At 37.9% G+C, this 19,069-nt stretch overlaps 1 protein-coding gene across 6 annotated transcripts in view, besides 1 other annotated feature; it reads right to left on the bottom strand.

Annotated features, from left to right (window-relative positions):
• Window positions 1–19,069, bottom strand: part of TENM3 (teneurin transmembrane protein 3) — a 1,355,412-nt gene that overhangs the window by 1,247,163 nt on the left and 89,180 nt on the right. The gene's annotated exons all lie outside the window — the stretch shown is intronic.
• Window positions 5,788–6,987: an enhancer, noted in NCBI's record as "P300/CBP strongly-dependent group 1 enhancer chr4:182470028-182471227 (GRCh37/hg19 assembly coordinates)". NCBI's record gives its function as "activates an origin of replication core promoter dependent on BRD2, BRD4, P300/CBP, MED14 and CDK7 cofactors, with strong dependence on P300/CBP, by STARR-seq in HCT116 cells {active_cell/tissue: HCT116}" and the evidence as "EXISTENCE:reporter gene assay evidence [ECO:0000049][PMID:35650434]".

Below are 19,069 nucleotides of genomic sequence, written 5' to 3'. Positions count from 1 at the left end.
AACTGAGTTCTGGCCCATAGTATGTGAGCAGAAGTGATGTATGATGTATGCTATTCAGATCTCTAGTCTGATCTTCCACATTCATTTCATTCAATATCTGGCCAGAGGTACAGGATATAGGGGAGAATTCCAAGGCTTTAGGAGATGGTAGACACACAGATAGAACACCTGGAAGAGAGAATGGGCTAATCTTCACTGGACTGCAACCTAAACTTGAACTAACCTTTTCTGTATCTCGTAATTGAGGCATTAAGGATACTTGTTACAACGTTGATTAATACACAAGGGAAAGCCTAAGTTAGAAGCAGAGATCACTAACTTGCTTATATTGAAGAATTTTATTTGTTTTTATCAATTAAATATGGTTGCTTGTTGAGTTATTTAAATTGGATTTCAAATTTCTAAAACTGATCATACCTTAAATAAAGCAAATCATAGGAATTAACACAGTTGGAGCAGAATGCCAAGTATGGTACTTTTCTGTCCACTTACAATAAGAAGCAACTAATTTTTAGTGGCTAAGATAATATAGTCTCGAATGAGACAGAACTCGATTAGTACCCTAACTCAAGCAGTAACTAGCTATGTGGCGTTGCACCAGTCTGCGAACCTCTATAAACCTCACCTTTCTCCTCTGTAAAGTGAAGAAAATAATAGTATCTACTTCATGGTTATGAGGATGAAATATGGCAATGCATTTAAAGTGTTTGGTCTGCCTACCATGTAGGAATCACTCAATAAATGTTAGCACTCATTATTGTCATTATTAATAACAGGCAATACTGCTAGAAAAGGTTCATACTTTAAAAAATACACTGTACTATGGAAAATGATAAAAATATAAAATTATTACCGGTTAAATTCTATCTCTTGTCAATTTTAAGTGGTGACATTTAATCTGGCTAAGTGCAGAGACGCATTCAAAGTATTAAAAATAAACTGATCCAAAGTAAACTGATGTTACAATAGATGGCAAAACAAAATCAAGCTGAGTTCTTCTTCTGGAATAAGCACTTGGAGCTGGATTAGCCATTTAAGTCCTTTCTTTAAAGCCAACTTGCTTCCGTATCAGCCACTATTTCAAAGGGACTATTTAACAGGTTGTCAACTTCAGTATGAAACGTTTTCCACTTTAGAAATCGAAGATTCATTATTTTGCATCAAACATTCTCCTCTCATTGGCACAGTGTTTTCAGAAGGCTAAATTAATAAAGAATTTAATAACATCCATGAGGTGAAATGGGATGTAGACATTGGAAATGGACAGAATGTCTGGTTTGGGACTATAGCCACACAATGACAACATTTTCTTCAATTCTAGGAAGAATTTATCTTAAGTTCAGAGGTGAACTAGATTCTCTTGAATCTTCTCAATTTATGTTCTCATCATAGATATTAGTAACATTATAATTATTCTGCTCATCATCAAACTATTATTATGCATGTAATTGTAACCAATTGATTGACGAAGCCTAACTGAGTGAGTTACAAGCAGGAAGCATGCTTATTCTTTCTCAGCCCTCCCCGTTAAACTCACTCTGTTAATGTTTTCTTTAGCTGTACATGAGACTGACATTCAGGCAGACACCGCCCGCAGCTTTTCAGTGGGTCCTTAGACAAAAGTCCAGATCAGAGTGATGTGGATTTCACTCTATTCTAGTAATTACGTAAGTGCCAAATATTTATCCAATGGAAAGCATCTACCTTTCCTCATCTTGGGCTGGCTTCAGCCTCTGATTTTCCATGGTACTGTTCTACTTATCCTCTTCCTCCTCCTGCTAGCCCAACCACAGAATCATTAGGTTAGGTTTCTATACAGTTAGAGCCGCATGAGGGAAGACAGGGGAAAAAAGGGAGCAGAGTCAGTAGCTGAAGGCAAGTAAAGGGGAGGAGGCATGGAGAGCTGGCAGAGAGGACAGAAGGGTAAAGTAGTCAACTCAGAGAGCGGGGGGATGGAGCAGGATTGCTGGGCAGCGCTAAGAGCCCACTTAAAGGGAGAAGTCCTGAATTTCAGGCTTCAGAATTATGAGTTTGTCCCCAGCTTCATCTAGTTGCTTCACAATTACTTGACAGCATGACCCACTAAACTACAAACTCCATGGGAATAAAGACCCTTCTATTGGCCGGGCGCGGTGGCTCACGCCTGTAATCCCAACACTTTGGGAGGCCGAGGCGGGCAGATCACGAGGTCAGGAGATCGAGACCATCCTGGCTAACACGGTGAAACCCCGTCTCTACTAAAAATACAAAAAATTAGCCGGGCGTGGTGGCAGGCACCCGTAGTCCCAGCTACTCGGGAGGCTGAGGCAGGAGAATGACGTGAACCCGGGAGGCGGAGCTTGCAGTGAGCCGAGATCGCGCCCCTGCACTCCAGCCTGGGCGACAGAGCCAGACTCCGCCTCAAAATAAATAAATAAATAAAAAGCCCTTCTATCTCATTCACCATTGAATTGCCAAGGCCCAGTACCATGCTTGGATATATACATAAAATATATCTATATTACACATATGTGTGTGTGTGTGTGTATATATATATATATACGCATACACATACACACACACTACACACACACACACACACACACACACACACACACACACTTAATGACTATAATAGCGACCTGACTTGCCAGGTAAAGAGCTTAAATGTACTCTAAAATTTTCTGGATCTTCAGGATCTAAGATACAGAGACTAGCCTAATTGTCCCAAGGCCATTCATTTAAAAATAATTCTCTACAAGGATGAAAGGAACAACATAACTCCAAACCAAAATGTTCAAGCCCCATATCAAGTGATTTTCAGCAGTTCAAAAATCAAACATGATTTGTGCAGGGATATTTTTATTCATCAGGAAGGGCCTAGAAGGGAGTCAGAAAAAGCACCATCGACAAAAGGAAGTGTGTGTGGTGTGTGTGTGGTGCGTGCGTGTCTGTGTGCACACGCACGTGTTTACACATGGAACTCCCTAAATCATGAAATCAAATGAATTAGCAAACTTCTTGTAAATAAGCCAGTTTTGGGAAAGCCCACATTGGAATACGGAAAGACTTCCGGGACCTCCGAAGTTTGTCCTAAGGAAGTGGTTTCGCTGCCTTTTTGCTCTCCGACTCCTACTACTGTTTCTGTCCCTTCATCTCTTACACAGTAAATCTTTCTCTTCTCAACCACCCAGAAGAACATAATAATAAAGCCCATTTTCCCCCCAGTAACTGAGAATGCAGAAAACATACAAAGCTAAAGCTACAGCCTACGATATGGCACGTTCTCAAAATAATAACTCAGAGAAGCTTTTGGTTTATAGAAAATTATTACAAGTGTTGACAGGACTTTATAGTGAGTGCTTTGAGGAAGCTCTTACGAGAGGAACTAATGATGTTTCTGAATCAGGGATTAGAACCTTTGCATTCATGAGCAAATCGGCTTTCTATTGCACCATCACTTTCTAAACAATAAAGAAATGGATATCGGAAAGATACTGCTAACACTAATGACACAGGAAATGCTTATAAAACGATATGCCATCATATATTTTAATCTGTTTTTCTCAATAGACTTAATCATGCTTGGGGAAAAGTCAGTGTAGTTTTCTGCCAAAGAATGAAGAGTTACCAGTTTGACTATTCGAAAGAGCCAGTATGATTTATGTCATAAGCATTTTTGGATGAAATTAGGAAAACTTCCCTTATCTTATTTTCTCCCATATTTACTGAAATATATTTGCTCAATGTCAGGAAGAAAATTACTCTTTCTATTCTTAGAGGTATGTATTAATGTTCTTTACATTTAAACACATTCACACACACACTGTCTCTCTCTGTCTCTCTCACCTCCTCCCACCCCACATAAACATCTGCAAATAACTTACGGCCTAATCTTTTGAACCAAGAACTAAAAACCAAGGAAACACCTTGAATATTTTTCAAAACTCATGTGATAATATTTGCTGGAAAGAATACAGGCAAAATTTATATACACACACACACACACACACACACACACACACACACACACACACACACACATATACATATATATATATATATATATATATATTATTAACTGCCTATTTTGCAAAATACAAAATAACAAATAAAACCTCAGCAATTCTGGTTCAAAGAAAGTTTAGACATTTACTGTTGAACCTTTTTATTCACCATTTCCCATTTCCCAGCACAGTATATTGACGATTTAGGCCATCTCTTTTCAAACACTGTTTGTGACAACGATTGCCCTATATCCCTGACAGAGGCTATTCTCCATGAAGTTTTCTGGAGTGATTGAGATAAAAATAAAAATGTTCTGATATTTTCCCCCAGGAAAAGTGCCAGTGGTTGCCGAAGCTCAAATAAGCTTTAACTACATCCCACAGAGCAACGCTTCATAGTGTATTATTAGTGTGATCAAAAAGGATGACAACATTTCCAGGAAGACCTAAGTAGCAGCCCACGTTAAACATTATGTGAATGTGCCATACAAAGTTGCCAGTCCCTGAGTGTGTATCTGCCTCAAATTGTGCATTTATTTCAAGTAAGACCTTCACTAATTGTAACTAGAAAAAGAAATCCTCATTCTCAGGATGCATTTTTACTTCCTTCAGGTTTTTTGTATTAGATCTTCCAGAAAGAGCAGGAACAAAATATATGCTTCCTCAATCCATTGGAAATTGAGTTGGGGTAACTCCACATTCACTTTAAGAATTTGTTTCTGCTTTAGTCAAGAGAGAATGGGAGCATGCTACCATAACCTGCTTCCCAGGGGTGGGGGAAAAAAAGAAAATTCCTTGCTCCTGTTCACCAATGTTGTAAAATCCATCAAGGTGCTTCACTTTATCAATATATGCTGAGTTCCTTACCCAGTAACTCCGAGATATTTAATAGCACTAATCATCTGAAAGGTAATGGGGAATGAGCCCACTGACTTACAGGAATGGGGACATCATGCACAAAACATATAAATTATTAAAGTATGGGTAGTTTGCAGGAGAGCATGGACTTTGTGCCTGATAGATCTGAATTCAAATGCTAACACCGCTTGTCATTAGCATGTAAATATGGGACCGTTACTTAGTCTCTCCAAATTTTTTTTTATTTGCTATAAAACTAGAGTAATAATAAATACTGCTTAGAGAAATTCTGAGGAATGTATTTAATGACATATAAAAGACTTGGATAGACTCTAGGCTATCTTTCAATATCCATTCTCTTCTTCCTCTGCAACCTTGTGGTCATACCATGGCATATTTTTAATGCCAGTCATTTCATGTTCCTCTGCCCTGTAGGTATCTAGGATATATCAGTGCATCAGTGTCAGCATGCACTGGACCTGAGCAACAAGCAACATTCAGAAAGACTCGATCATTGACCACCATCAATTCATACTGTTCAGTCACAAAAAGATGGTTGCAGAGCATGTGCTTATTTAGTTCTTTTGGTAGAGAATTTGCAATAATTCCATTACAGAGATGCTAGAAGTTGATTTCCATTTGAATGCCACCTTTGATTAAGAGCATTTAGCTTGTTTGCTGTAGGTAGGTGGTACTAGTCATTGGCTATGATCAAAGTAGAGAATCTTCGTAAACTGAAATTTAGATTCCTGAAAAGAAAATAATTTGATTCCAGGGAATTCATGTTATAATCCAAATCTCATACTGGGGAAAAAAATCTGTTTCTCATGAACATTACTGTAGTCCCTTCTGTGGACTTTATGAAAAGACATTTTGTGACTTCAGTGAAAACATACTGTCTCCCATACACTGTTACTCTTTTGTTTAGGTTACCACATTTTTTAGTCAATTGGAAGTGTTATCTAACACTTTATTGGAAAATCAGAAGTGTAAAATGAACCCCGAGCACTCTTGTCACCATGGGAAATGCTGACGAGACACATTATACCCATTATATCTTTAAGTTGTTAAAAGAAAAAAAAACTGTATGGTTTTTAAAAATCACATTTGGGTATTAGGTGTACCAGAATCAGAGAAATTCAGTGCTGAAAAGATATTTATAGAGGATCTAACCCAGCTTCCTTGTTTTATGGGCTGAGGAAACCAAGATAAGATTACTATTAAATATGCAAGTCTGTCCCCACCCCAAGCACAGGGAAATTTTGAACAGGATTAATCAAAGCATGGGTCGTGGGGATCCAGTGGAGGAAATGGGGATCACTTAGAGCCTATTATGTGTTTTCCTGGAATAAGTCAGGCCATTACCTAAGAATCTGGGGTACAGGAAAAAATGAAATAATTTTAAAAAGAATATACCATATGATCCATTTTAGAAAAGAAAATACACATGCTCACAAAACCAAACACATTCATATGCATACATGCCTGGAAGGGCTGAGCACAGAGCTTGGCCTAACACAGACCTGTGTTGGAGAGAGGCTGGTGGCTTCATGCAGGCTCTGGTCCATACTGGTAAGCCCCACCAGAAACCTTATTTAAAGAAGCACAGTGCGTGCAGGGAAAAGTACTACCGAGGATAACAATGATGTAAAATGGCATGATTGCATGTTCATGTCATTACGCTGGAGAATAAAGAGGATGTGAGTCATCCTCCTGGCGATTGCCAGCAGTCCCTTGTCTCTTTCATGTTCGTGCCCCTGGAGCTGAGCCTCCGGCTTCCAGTCCAGGTGACTTACCATTGGCACTGTTTCTCCCTAGTCAAAGGGACCTCTGGCGGGGCAGCCAGTAGGTTGGGGTGGGAGTATAGGGTAAGGGGGTGAGGGCGGAGATGAAGGAAATGTGTATGTTCAGGGACAGCAAGTAAGCTGAAGTTCCAGCATTCTCAGTGCCACTCTTTGGAAGCATGGATGTTTGTGAAGAATGTGTTACCATCGCCCCATTACACAGATGTCAACTCTGCCAGAATGCCTTCCAGGCTGACAGGATTACCCATCCTCCTTTGGGCTCCAGTTACCTTCTGTTTTTACCTTGATTCTAAGGGAAGGAGATTTAGAATAAATGTTATCATTAACTTGCATATTTGCCTCCTGTAAACCCTTTCAGTCATACTTTTAATATCACAAATGCCCTGGAGCAAGAGCTTGTCAATGAACATTGACAATAAAATCATACTTGCTCCAATGGCGTCTCTACTTTAAAATGTTTCCTTGCTCCTCCCATTTCAAAATTGTCACGTGGTATGTCTGTTTATTAATGTTCTGAGATGGCTCTTATCTTCCTCCTAGGGTTGACTATATCTCCCTCTTTCTTGGTTTAATCTTTTGCTTGGGAGAGGCACATCATCAAAAAGCTTCCTGAGGAATCCACGTGGAAATTATATTTCTGAGAACACCTCTCAGTTAATTTTAAACCCTGTACTCCCTCAATCAGATGAAAACCGAAAGAAATGTTAAAAAGTTGGGATATCATTTTTTTATGGCTGCATAGTATTCCATGGTGTTTATGTGCCACATTTTCTTAATCCAGTCTATCACTGATGGACATTTGGGTTGGTTCCAAGTCTTTGCCATTGTGAATAGTGCTGCAATAAACATACGTGTGCATGTGTCTTTATGGCAGCATGATTTATAATCCTTTGGGTATATACCCAGTAATGGGATGGCTGGGTCAAATGGAATTTCTAGTTCCAGATTCCTGAGGGATCGCCACACTGACTTCCACAATGGTTGAACTAGTTTACAGTCCCACTAACAGTGTAAAAATGTTCCTATTTCTCCACATCCTCTCCAGCACCTGTTGTTTCCTGACTTTTTAATGATCGCCGTTCTAACTGGTGTGAGATGGATGAAGCTGGAAACTATCATTCTCAGCAAACTATTGCAAGGAGAAAAAAACAGACACCGCATATTCTCACTTATAGGTGGGAATTGAACAATGAGAACACATAGACACAGGAAGGGGAACATCACACACCAGGGCCTGTTGTGGGGTGGGGGGACGGGGGAGGGATAGCATTAGGAGATATATGTAATGTTAAATGACGAGTTAATGGGTGCAGCACACCAACATGGCACATGTATATGTATATGTAACAAACCTGCACATTGTGCACATGTACCCTAAAACTTAAAGTATAATAAAAAAAAGAAAAAATAAATAAATATCAATGGAAATTACAAGGTAAAAAAAAAGTTGGGATATCTTTGGAGCAAATATTATTTTAAGATATTGAATAAGAAAGTTAACTATAACTAAGGCATTGTTTCATTTTCTTAGTGTCCAGTGTACTAAGTGGGAAAATCTCATGTTTAATTGTCTTTCATATTAATGATCTTTACTCTCTAGAGGCTTTTAGGATTATTTCTTTACTCCTGGTGTTCAGAAATTCCACAACAGTTTTACTTGGTGTGAATGCTTTTTAATTCTTGCATGTTTTTGTACATGTTTAAAATAATTTTTGATTTTATATTTCCTTATTTCAACTTTTTGGAATTTTTATTAGTTTGATATTACATATCTTGGATTGATCCTCTAAATAACATAGATTATCCTAGATATTACATATTTTGGATTGATCCTCTAAATAATATAGATTATGTTACTACTGATCATCTTCTTTATTTTCTGTGAGATTTCTTCAACTTTGTCTTCCAAACCTACTACTATTTTTTCAACTTTGGATATTTGTATGAGTCATTTCTTTCTCTCTATATAAAATGTCATATTTTATGTTTCTGAAGATATTAATTATGGTTACTTTGAAGTATTCTGCTTTCTGTACTTTTTCTCTTTTCTCTGATTTTATTTTACTTCCTCATTTTGTTCTGCTTTTCTGCCTTTCACATGAAGAGGCTTTTCTCCAATGTTTTAGAATTCTCAACTAACTCATTACATTTAAGAATAAAGTGCTAAAAAATGGGGGTAGGATCATTTGTGCACATGGGCAGGGCTTACTGGCAGATGATTAAGGTTTTGAATCTGGATGGGTCAAATAATATTTAGGAAAAATGAAATGTGAAGTAGCAAGAGCAGCAGGAATAAGCATCCCTTCCCCAATACACAAACAAACAAAAATCCCCAATACACACAACAAACAAAAACAAAAAAACAAAAAAAGAAGCTCTACTGGAAGGTAGGTTGGAGACATGGGGAAAAACAACTGTGCAGTATCTAACTTCAGTCTATAAAGATCTACACATGACTCAGGTGCCATTTCTTCTTCTTCTTCTTTTTTTTTTTTTTCTGAGACGGAGTCTCGCTCTGTCGCCCAGGCTGGAGTGCAGTGGCGCGATCTCGGCTCGCTGCAAGCTCTGCCTCCCGGGTTCACGCCATTCTCCTGCCTCAGCCTCCCGAGTAGCTGGGACTACAGGCGTCCGCCACCACGCCCGGCTAATTTTTGTATTTTTAGTAGAGACGGGGTTTCACCGTGTTAGCCAGGATGGTCTCGATCTCCTGACCTCGTGATCCAGCCGCCTCGGCCTCCCAAAGTGCTGGGATTACAGGCGTGAGCCACCGCGCTCAGCCTCAGGTGCCATTTCTGTAGAATAGCTTTTTACTAAAATAACCAACGTGATAATAAATGTGTTTAATGGTAAATTAATCAGAAGAATGCTAATTTTTAATGATGGTGTGCAGTTGTACTGTGAGCACGAGTTTCTCAGACAATATAATAGATTTTGGACTAATCAATGGCCATGAAGAAGGAAAAAGAAGCTGCGACAGCTAAATGAAGCTATACGAAGGGAGAAGTAGGAGCTGGCCTGAAAGGGGCTATCTGAGTTGACAAGCCTCTAGAGGCCACTCACACGCACACTATCATGGTCTAAAAAAATAGATTTGCACTCAATGCATAAGAACGCAAGACCTTTGCAGTGGCCACCAGAGAGAAAATGTCAGATAGGGAAACCGTGGCAATAACAGGCCGTGTGTGAAAGCTTCCTCTGTATGTTTCCAAGACATGGTGAAGAGAACTATCCCATCATTATATTTACTCCTTGCATATATGTGCACTTTTTCTGCAGAATAATGGTGCTTCTCAGTGGATCTTCTTTATGCAAAAAGAATGGCTGCAGACACGTGAAAAATAGCATGAAAACATATATTTCTTTCTTCAAATCAAAGTATGTCATTAAGAAAATACGAGTAGAAATGATCTAGGACTATTTGCATAAAATAGATTTACACATGCTGAATTTCTTTCCATTGTTATTCTGCTGTAATGTAAAAATAATTAAAAATATCTTTAATTTTAAACATATTTGGTATATGCAGCATTCATCAGGTTCTGAAAATAAAACGTAACCCAAAGGACTCTTTTTAAAAGATTGAATTTAGACCTTGTCTCATAATACACTTCAATTTCCTCTTGATTTGTCACTTAAAGCCTCTAAAAGCCTCAGAAGAGCACTTCATTTTCTAAAATCGACTATTATCCTTAACTTAAAATAAAAATACCTAGAAGTAATAAATTCTGGGGTAGGTGATCCTTTAATCTCCTAATTAAGGACAAATAATTTTTAATTTTTCTTTCCGTTACTTCTTGATGGAACCCCAACTTGAGGTGCCTTGTTTTATCTGTCCTCTTACTCAAGAAACAAAATGGCTACAAACCACGGACTAGTAAAAGTGTTTCAAATGGGACACTTCATTAGGCAGAGGCACTGTTTGTTATAAAGGGGAAAAAATCCACATTAAAGTTTTACATATTTGTTTACTAGCAAAATCAGATGAGATAAACAGAACACACAACAAGGAACCTAGGATTAAACAAAATAAATCTCTCTTGACTCAAACCTAATAACTTGCTCCAAAAGCTCTCATAAATTATTAGCTTCAAAATCATTCAATGTATCTGAAACGGAGTGTGTGTCACTGATGTACTTGAAGTTCACCTAAGAAACTATCATCAAAATGTGCCGACAAAAAACTGCCAGCAGCGATGCCACCTTGCAATCAATCAAATATCTGTTTCAGAATTATAAAGTGTCTGAGAGCTATAATTTCATCTGCTTCTAGCTGCATATCATTTAAAACTTCATATTCTCATGCAGGAAGAAAAAGCAAAAACATTTGTCAGCTCTAATTCCCTCTCTATGAAGACCCACTGTTTTTCACAGCACTGTCTGGCTTCCTTATTTTAATTTGTGTCTTAGAAATCATTTTTTCTCATGGACTACATGTGGTCCATAGTTTATGAACACTGTAGTATAGTCAATTCTCAATTATCTGTCTGAATGGAATCCTATGGTGGCACCGATAATCCAAAATCACTTGATATTTGACTTTAGAATACATTATGTGAATTTCCCCTGGGAGGTTTCCCTTCTTGCTAATGCGTTGCTAGAACTAATATTAAAATATGTTTGTATTCCTTGAATGCATGCCAACTGACAGCGGCAGGGGGCAGCCCAGAAGTGGGCGGCAGGGGTAGGTGAGACTGGAATTAAATGCTTCCATGAAGAATTGCCAATGTGAGTTTTTCAAATGTGGGTAATTGAGACTTGGTTCCATACGAGTTATAGTTTTTTTTTTTTTTTTTTTTTTTTTTTTAATCCTGAAGGAAAGAAATCGCTTTGAAGTATTTGAATGCAAAAGACCGTATTTTAAAATATTAAGTAAAAGCCATTTTAGCTTAACTAGTTAGCAATGGATCAGAAATTCGTTTATTTTTAAAAGACACAATATGAAACACTCTTGCAAGAGTTTATTTATAGTTAGAAATTTATTATTATAGAATAGATATCCTATATCATTTTTACCTTGATATGATGTTAAGAAATGACTTGCCACCATTGGTTATTTGCAGTCAATTCTTGAAGTATTATTTGGCATTCTGGGGTAACGGAATTAGAACGAAAGGCAATAATGAACTAATCTTCTCAATCTATTTTTAAAAATTAAATCATCTCATTGATTATTCTCTTTCTTCATTTCTGTTCTCACCACATGTTTAAAAACTGTGTAAATATTCAGTTCAGCGAATGGACCCATGGGCTTTCATGACATCCTGAAATTTGAATTTCAGGAAGAGAAAATTATATTTTTTTCTTTATTATTCAAACAACATATAATTATGGGAAGTATTTTAAAGTACCATGTTGCTCATTTATTTGTTGATATGACTTTAGTTAAGAAGGAACGTATGTAGTTATAATCAACAAAATGTGGCTAGCAGTGGCCCTTGGGCTTCATCAGCCTAATACGAAACACTAAAAACTACCTTACAAAATAATTTCTCCAGGGAGCCAGGTTGAAGAATGGAGGTGCCAGGGCCTGTTTTATAATTGATACTCACCTAAGTGTTGGATTTATAAGACCTGGCAGTAGGCCAGCAGGTGGCTGGCAGTAGAATTTAGCTGGGAAAAGGCAGGTTGTGGATTAATATTGTCAAAGTCAGAAAAGCACGGTGCAAGACAAGCTGAGAGAGTTGGTCATCACGCGGAAAAAATACCTTCAGAAATTAAGTCAGAGCTTTGGACTGAGAAATCAATGCCTTTCATAGTACCTTGAACAAAAAGTTGCTCAGACAATTCTTAAATCCATATCTTAAGGTATTTTTGTTCATCTGCCACCTCCTTCTGTATCTTCTCCTCCTACTCCTCCTCCTCCTCTTCCCCTCCCCTCCCCTTACATTTTATCCTTTGTGTATTCTAAGAGCTCCAGTCCTACCTAGAAAGCTCTGTAATTCTGGTGACCAAAGATCCCCAGTCTCAAGCTGGACGAAGGCCCGGCTTTGAGTACACACGTTTGAAGGAATTTCTGGACAAAATGTGGAGAGAGAGAAGAGAGAGTGGGAATACATTTTATAAGACAGAATCTGGGAAAAATTTTAGGGGTTCTGTCTTTCCATGTATATTAAATTTTGTAGTTGCCTTGCTCAAATTTCACAGTAGATTTTCTGAAGTTTGCATTCATCCTTGCTCAAATGGATTTGAGTTAGTTAGTTGAGAGTTGGCTGGAATAGACAGAGAAAGAGATGGACCAAGCAAGATATATGGTCTGAAGAGGAAATAATACGATGGGTAAGTAATGTAGGGGATGGGGGAACCCTTGATGGGCTTCAATGATTGGGAAAGGACTTTGGTTTTTTTGGATCACGGACAATACAAAACTCAGGATAGTCTCACCCCAACTCTAACATGCGGAGATATTTGAAATTCACTATGAAAAGAGAATATACTTTTAGTTGGACATCAAAGGCTGGAGTCCTTGAATGCGCTCTTAAATGAATGAATTCTTCTGCTGTTATTGGACTAAGTCATCTAATCTAGGCAGAGCCAGTTAATCTAAATTTTTTCATATGAAATGAAAACCTAGAAGTTATCCTTCATTCTATAACATACCTCATCCAATCCATCTACAATCGCGTTAGTTTTAAATACATGTGCTTCTCTCCATCCCCACTTCTATTTGCCTAATCTAAGCTACCCATATCTCTTTTCAGAGCAACTGCAATATTAACAGGTAACCTTACTTCTCCTACAATTCATTCTTCACAGAGTTGCCATTATTCCTTCATAAACAGAAATCAAATCTGCTACTCAAAACCTTTAATGGCTTCCCACTGCTCCTAGAATAAGACCCAAACTTTCTATCATGGCTGGAGACGCCCCATACAGGATTTAGATGCTGTTTCTGCAAACTTGCCTCAGACAATTATCTGTCTGGCTCGCTGCTCTCCAGATCAACGGAGTCCCCACTTCTGGGTCACGTTTTTCCCTGTACCTAAAATGCTCTTCACCTTGTTCTTTGAATACGTTATTCTCATCTTTTAAGTGCCCATTCAGAAGACACTTTCTACTTTATTTCCTCCATAGCATCCGTCATAGCATGAAATATCTTGTTCCTTTACATGATTATAATTTGTCTTTCCATGCTAAAATTTAAGCTCTAGGAGGGAGGGGTTCATAAGACTTCTTCCCTAAGAAGAATACCTGCCATGTCGTTGATACTCAGCTAACGCTTGTCGAATAAATTCTTATAAGGTGGCATCTTTCCATGAGCACCCACCTTTTGACACAACTTCCAATTTCTGTATGCAGGCAAATGGTCCATCTGAAATTGAGGCACATAGGGAATAATTAGCAGATGTAGACTGTGACCCAGAACTGGAGGTCTAAATTCTTTCTTAGAGTAAAATTATCTTCAGCAAAAGAAATCCTTAAAGGAACTATGTTGAATGGCAGAGGAAGCTGAGGTTCTGAGTATTTTGGAGGAGCTGTGTTCTGATGAGACATCCCTGGAGATATCAGTGAGGTTCCTGGAAAGAGCGTAGTTAAGGATACCACAAATAGGCCAGTTGTGGGAGGGCCATCCTTGGCATCTTACAATTTGTTCTTTCTCTCTTGTGCTGTAGCAACTTCTCTGCAATAGGATGCAGTGGGATTATTACTGTTAAGTGTTCTTAACAGAGGGGTTGGAATTGCCAAACCATACACAAAGGGAGAGAGTTCCATGACTCATCTAAATCAGTCAGTAGGAAACAGAAACTCAAGAACGACTTTCTTGAGTGTTTAGTGAATTTTGAGTAGCTGCTCAATTGTTCTAGATTTTGAACTTTTTAATTTTTTTTAAGAGACAGGATCTCGCTCTGTCACCTAGGCTGGAGGGCAGTGGGAGTGATCATGGCTCACTTCAGCCTCAACCTTCCTAGGCTCAAGCAGTCCTCCCACCTCAGCCTCCCACATACCCAGGAATACAAGTGCATGCCACCATGCCTGGCTTTTTATATTTTAATTTTTATTTTTTGTAGAGAGAGAATCTCATTATATTGCCCAGGCTGGTCTCCAGCCCCTGAGCTCAAGCAGTCCTCCAGCCTCAGCCTCCCAAAATGTTGGGATTACAGGCATGAGCCACTGTGCCCGGCCTGAACTTTCAATGCATATACTTTAAATGGATTTCTCACTTATAAGCATTCTCAGACAGGAACTTTTCTAAACAAACATTTAAAATAACACTTTCAGATTTACAGAGTTATTGCACATGTAGTTCCCATATTCCCACATTCAGCTTCCCCTCGTTAGTATAGTAATTTCATTACTATTAATGAGCCAATAGGGAAATATTTCTATTAATTTAAGGCCATACTTTATTCAGATTTCCTCTGTATTTCTTAATGGCCCTTATCTGTCCCAGGATCCCATGATGGGTACCACATTGCATTTAGGCATCACGTCCCCTGAGCTTCTCTTGCCTGTGACAGTTTGAGTCTTTGTTTTTGATGACCTTGGCAGGTTTGAGGAGCGCTGGTCAGATATGTTGTAGAATGTCTCACTATGGGGATTCAGCTAATGTTTTCCTCATGACTAGACTGGGATAATGTGTGTCTGGGAGGAAGACCACAGGGCTAAAGTGATCTTTTCATGATATAGAAAGGGCATGTGCTACCAACATGACATGTTGTTGGTGTCAGCTTGCATGGCCTGCTGGACGCTGTGTTTGTTGAGGTCCCCCACCGCAGAGTTGCTCTTTTTCTCTCCCTGTCCGCTCTGTACTCTTTGGAAGAAAGTCACTATTCACAGCCGCACTTAAGGAGTGGGGCATGTGCTTGATCTCTGTAATGGTGGAGCAACTATATAAATCATTTAGAATTTTCTACCACCAGGGGTTTGTCGTTTCTCCCCCATCTATTTATTATTTATTTATTGAATTATGTGCTTATATCAGTACTTGTGGCCCGTTATTTTTGTTATTCGGATTATAATCCAACAGTTCTTTATTTTACTACTTTAATTCGTTGCTCCAATTGCTTCAGCTTTGGCCTCTGGGGACCCTTTCAGTTGGCTCCTGTAATAGGCCCTTGAGGTCTTCTCATCATGGCGTCTGTTCTGTCTTTGTATTCTTCTCATCATGGCGTCTATTCTGTCTTTGGCACTTCTTAGTTTCTGGCACCACTAGGATGCTCCAGATTCATTTTGTATGTTCCCCACTCCAGCCCTAGAAGCAGTCATTTCTCCCAGGAGCTTTGGTTCCTTTTATTGGAAAATGATATTAGAAACCAAGACCTGAGGGCTTGGTATTTCAAGGAGGAATTTTGATGGATAATTTGTAATATGCCCAAATAGTTGTACTTGTAAATAAAAATCTACCATGAACTATCATTTAAATGTCATCAACATTTTTATAGGTCAGCTATAGAAGTAGGAATAATTTCATCATATATTCTATAGCAACTAACTCATGTTCATTTTTGATATAAAAATCTAGGATTATGGAAAGAAAAATTAGTGACATAAGAGTTAATTTATCTTTTGGACCATTTAATGTCCATCTGCATTAATCCAACATATCAATTATTTGCCTACTTCTAAGATCTAGGACATTGTCATTTCTTTCTTTCTTTAACAATTTCCTTACTCATTTTTACACTTCAAATGAATAATGACAACAAAAATGCTTAATGTCACTAACATGGATTTTTAGAGGAATAAACGTATTAAGTTTTACTGGAATGGAAAACACTCATCTCATTATGAAGAGACAGTGTTATGTTTTTGCTTTGGTTTGTTGCTATTTATAAAATGAGACTTTATTTTTCAAAATTACTTTTGAGAATGCATGATTTATATTCTGCAATCATCTATTTGCTTTAAATAATATTGGCAATGTTTCATATTTTAACCATATCAAGTAAATTTAATTTTAAACATTGTAATAATTTTTAGTAATTTAGAAAAAGTTGAAGAACCTTTGGGTAATTACAACTTTATTTCTATTATATAGGCTCATTCAACTCCATTAACACGTTCCCTCCTTTTTAGTTTTCCCTGGTTGGTTGGTTCTTCCAATGCTGAAGAAAAATTATTTGACAATATATTACTGAGGATTCAGTGGTGAGCAAGTCATGAACATTGAACGTAGTCTGCCAGGATTACTGGATGAGTGTGAAAAATACAAAGGGAACGATAAGTGTTGGATTTTAGCCTATATATGGGACAATATAAAAGATTTGTACCCTCTGCATAAGTCAAACATTAAGCATTTTAGTTACTACTTACTTTTTCCCCAACAGAATTAAAAAGCCAGTTGGTTTGGTGTAATCTTCATAATTAAACAACTAAACCAATTGGATTACACCTGTTATTGTGTTCATTCAGGATTTATTTAGAACAAAGAAAGAAGTAATTATTCAAGGTCAAGAATCAAGAAGGCAAATGGTAAGAAAAGGTACTCTGAATTCTACTCTCTGAAAAGGAAGAAGAAAACGAACACTTCACTGAAACAGCCACAGTGCAGTTCTTGAGTGCATTTTTTATTACCTTGTGCTTAGATTTCTACAGGCATACTCCGTGTGCTGGTCACAGCTCAGGTGTCACTTCTTCCTGGAGTTCTGGACACCTGCCCCATAGTCTCATAGGTGTTCTATGGAACAAAGTCTCATAGGTGTTCTGGACATGCTTCCCATAGTTCCCTGATGTTCCCCCACCCCACCCCTACTCTGCTTCCCACATGGCACTGAGATTGTTTCTTCTTTCCATTAACCACCACGCCCCCCTCCCCATCCCATCCTCTTCATAGAGTACTCCAGTATTCATTGCATTTGCTTTTATGTTCCGAGCGTTTACTATTGCTTACAAGTGCCTATGAGGCACTTAATAAAGACATTTTTGACTAGATGAATGTTTAATTAAATAAATGAATAAGTGAGTAAAAGAATGAAGGATTTCAGCTTATTCTGGCCATGCTTGCTACAAGCCAAGTACCGATCGTATTGTGAGAGCTGACCAATGTAATCTGTGTATTGATCAATAAACATGGTTAGAAAACCGATTAAAAGTGCATTTTTAACATTTGAAATATTATTTTTATTAATATTGGAAATACTTCTCCATTGTATCTTTGCCCATTTCTTGAAGGTTTAGCAATTATAATTGAAAATATTGTGCCAATAAATTTTGATTTTACTAATTATGACACAGCTTGGACTGAAACAAAAAAATTCACCAAATATATCAATAAGCCTTCTCCTATGCCAAGCCTTCCCATTCCCCCTAACGTATGAAGGGTACATTTCACATTCCCAAAGAAAAGCATATTTCAAGCAGTTTTACATTAAGCATTTGTGTGTAAAAACCAGTTATGAATGTGTTACTGTTGGTAAATTAATGCAGACAAAGACAGGATTTTGTCTTGGCAGCTTTAGTTAAATTTAGTTGTTGTGTTACCTTAACTAGGGAGGCTGTGGTAAGTAGTGGTGGAAAGCAGATTTTCTTAGCCACCGTCTCTTGTTAGTTGCGTGACCTTGAGGAATTGCTTAGCTTATCTGGTTCTTTGTTTCTTAAACTGTAAAATCAAGTTAATGCCATCTTTATCACCTGGAGGTTGTATGTTACTAAGTATTGTAGGAAGAGCTGCCAACATAGTACTTGGAATATAATATGTCTAGTGACTGTTAGCTTTTTTCTTTGCTCTTTTCTCTAGATACACTATAAAGTAATAACACAATTATAAGATCTTTTAATTCAGCCTTTTTATTAACTCAGACTAACCCTTATTTCAATGAGTTTGAATTGGTGAGGTTTACTGACTTGCTCATGGTTTTTACAAGGACCCAGATGCTCGGTTAATTTCGTCCCTGCTAGCCTCGCTGGCATTTGTAAATTACAGTGTGTATGTGGTAGGAAAATGTCTCATGTAGAAGCTCTTTTCAGAAAATACTTGGCCATATTCCCAGGGTAAATTGCAGTCATAATGGCAATATAAAATTCTGTCTTGACCATTGAACTAGGAGTCAGGAAACTTGAAAGTGATGTCAAAGGTGTAGACTCCCTTTCTTAATCAAAGCCCAACCTTAGTCTGCCTCAGTATTTCGGAAAAGGTCATTTTTCTTTTTTTTTAAAGGAGGGTGAGGTTTATAAAGTACTTTGAACTCACTTAGGAAAGACAAATATAAACATATAAAGTTTTATTACCTTTAAAAAAAGTTCTCTTTACTCGTTAAAGGGAAGTCTTACTTTATCATTACCAGTTGACCTAGGTGAAGTTAATAAGCTGATGAAGCTCTGATTAAGGTTTTATGAGGCAATCTGTATCACTGAGCAGAGTTCACCAGGGTCCCTTCCTATTTCCTCATTCCATATTTCTCATTGCAAATTAATACTACACTTTCAGGAAACACTGCCTTTTTAAAGCCAAGGGAAAAAATTCCAGGTGCCTACCATGCAAAG

Source organism: Homo sapiens, chromosome 4, assembly GCF_000001405.40.
Source record: "Homo sapiens chromosome 4, GRCh38.p14 Primary Assembly".
In the NCBI taxonomy this organism is placed as follows: domain Eukaryota; kingdom Metazoa; phylum Chordata; class Mammalia; order Primates; family Hominidae; genus Homo; species Homo sapiens.
Note: the sequence above shows the minus strand (reverse complement) of the source record. Positions and strands in the feature narration are given on the sequence as shown.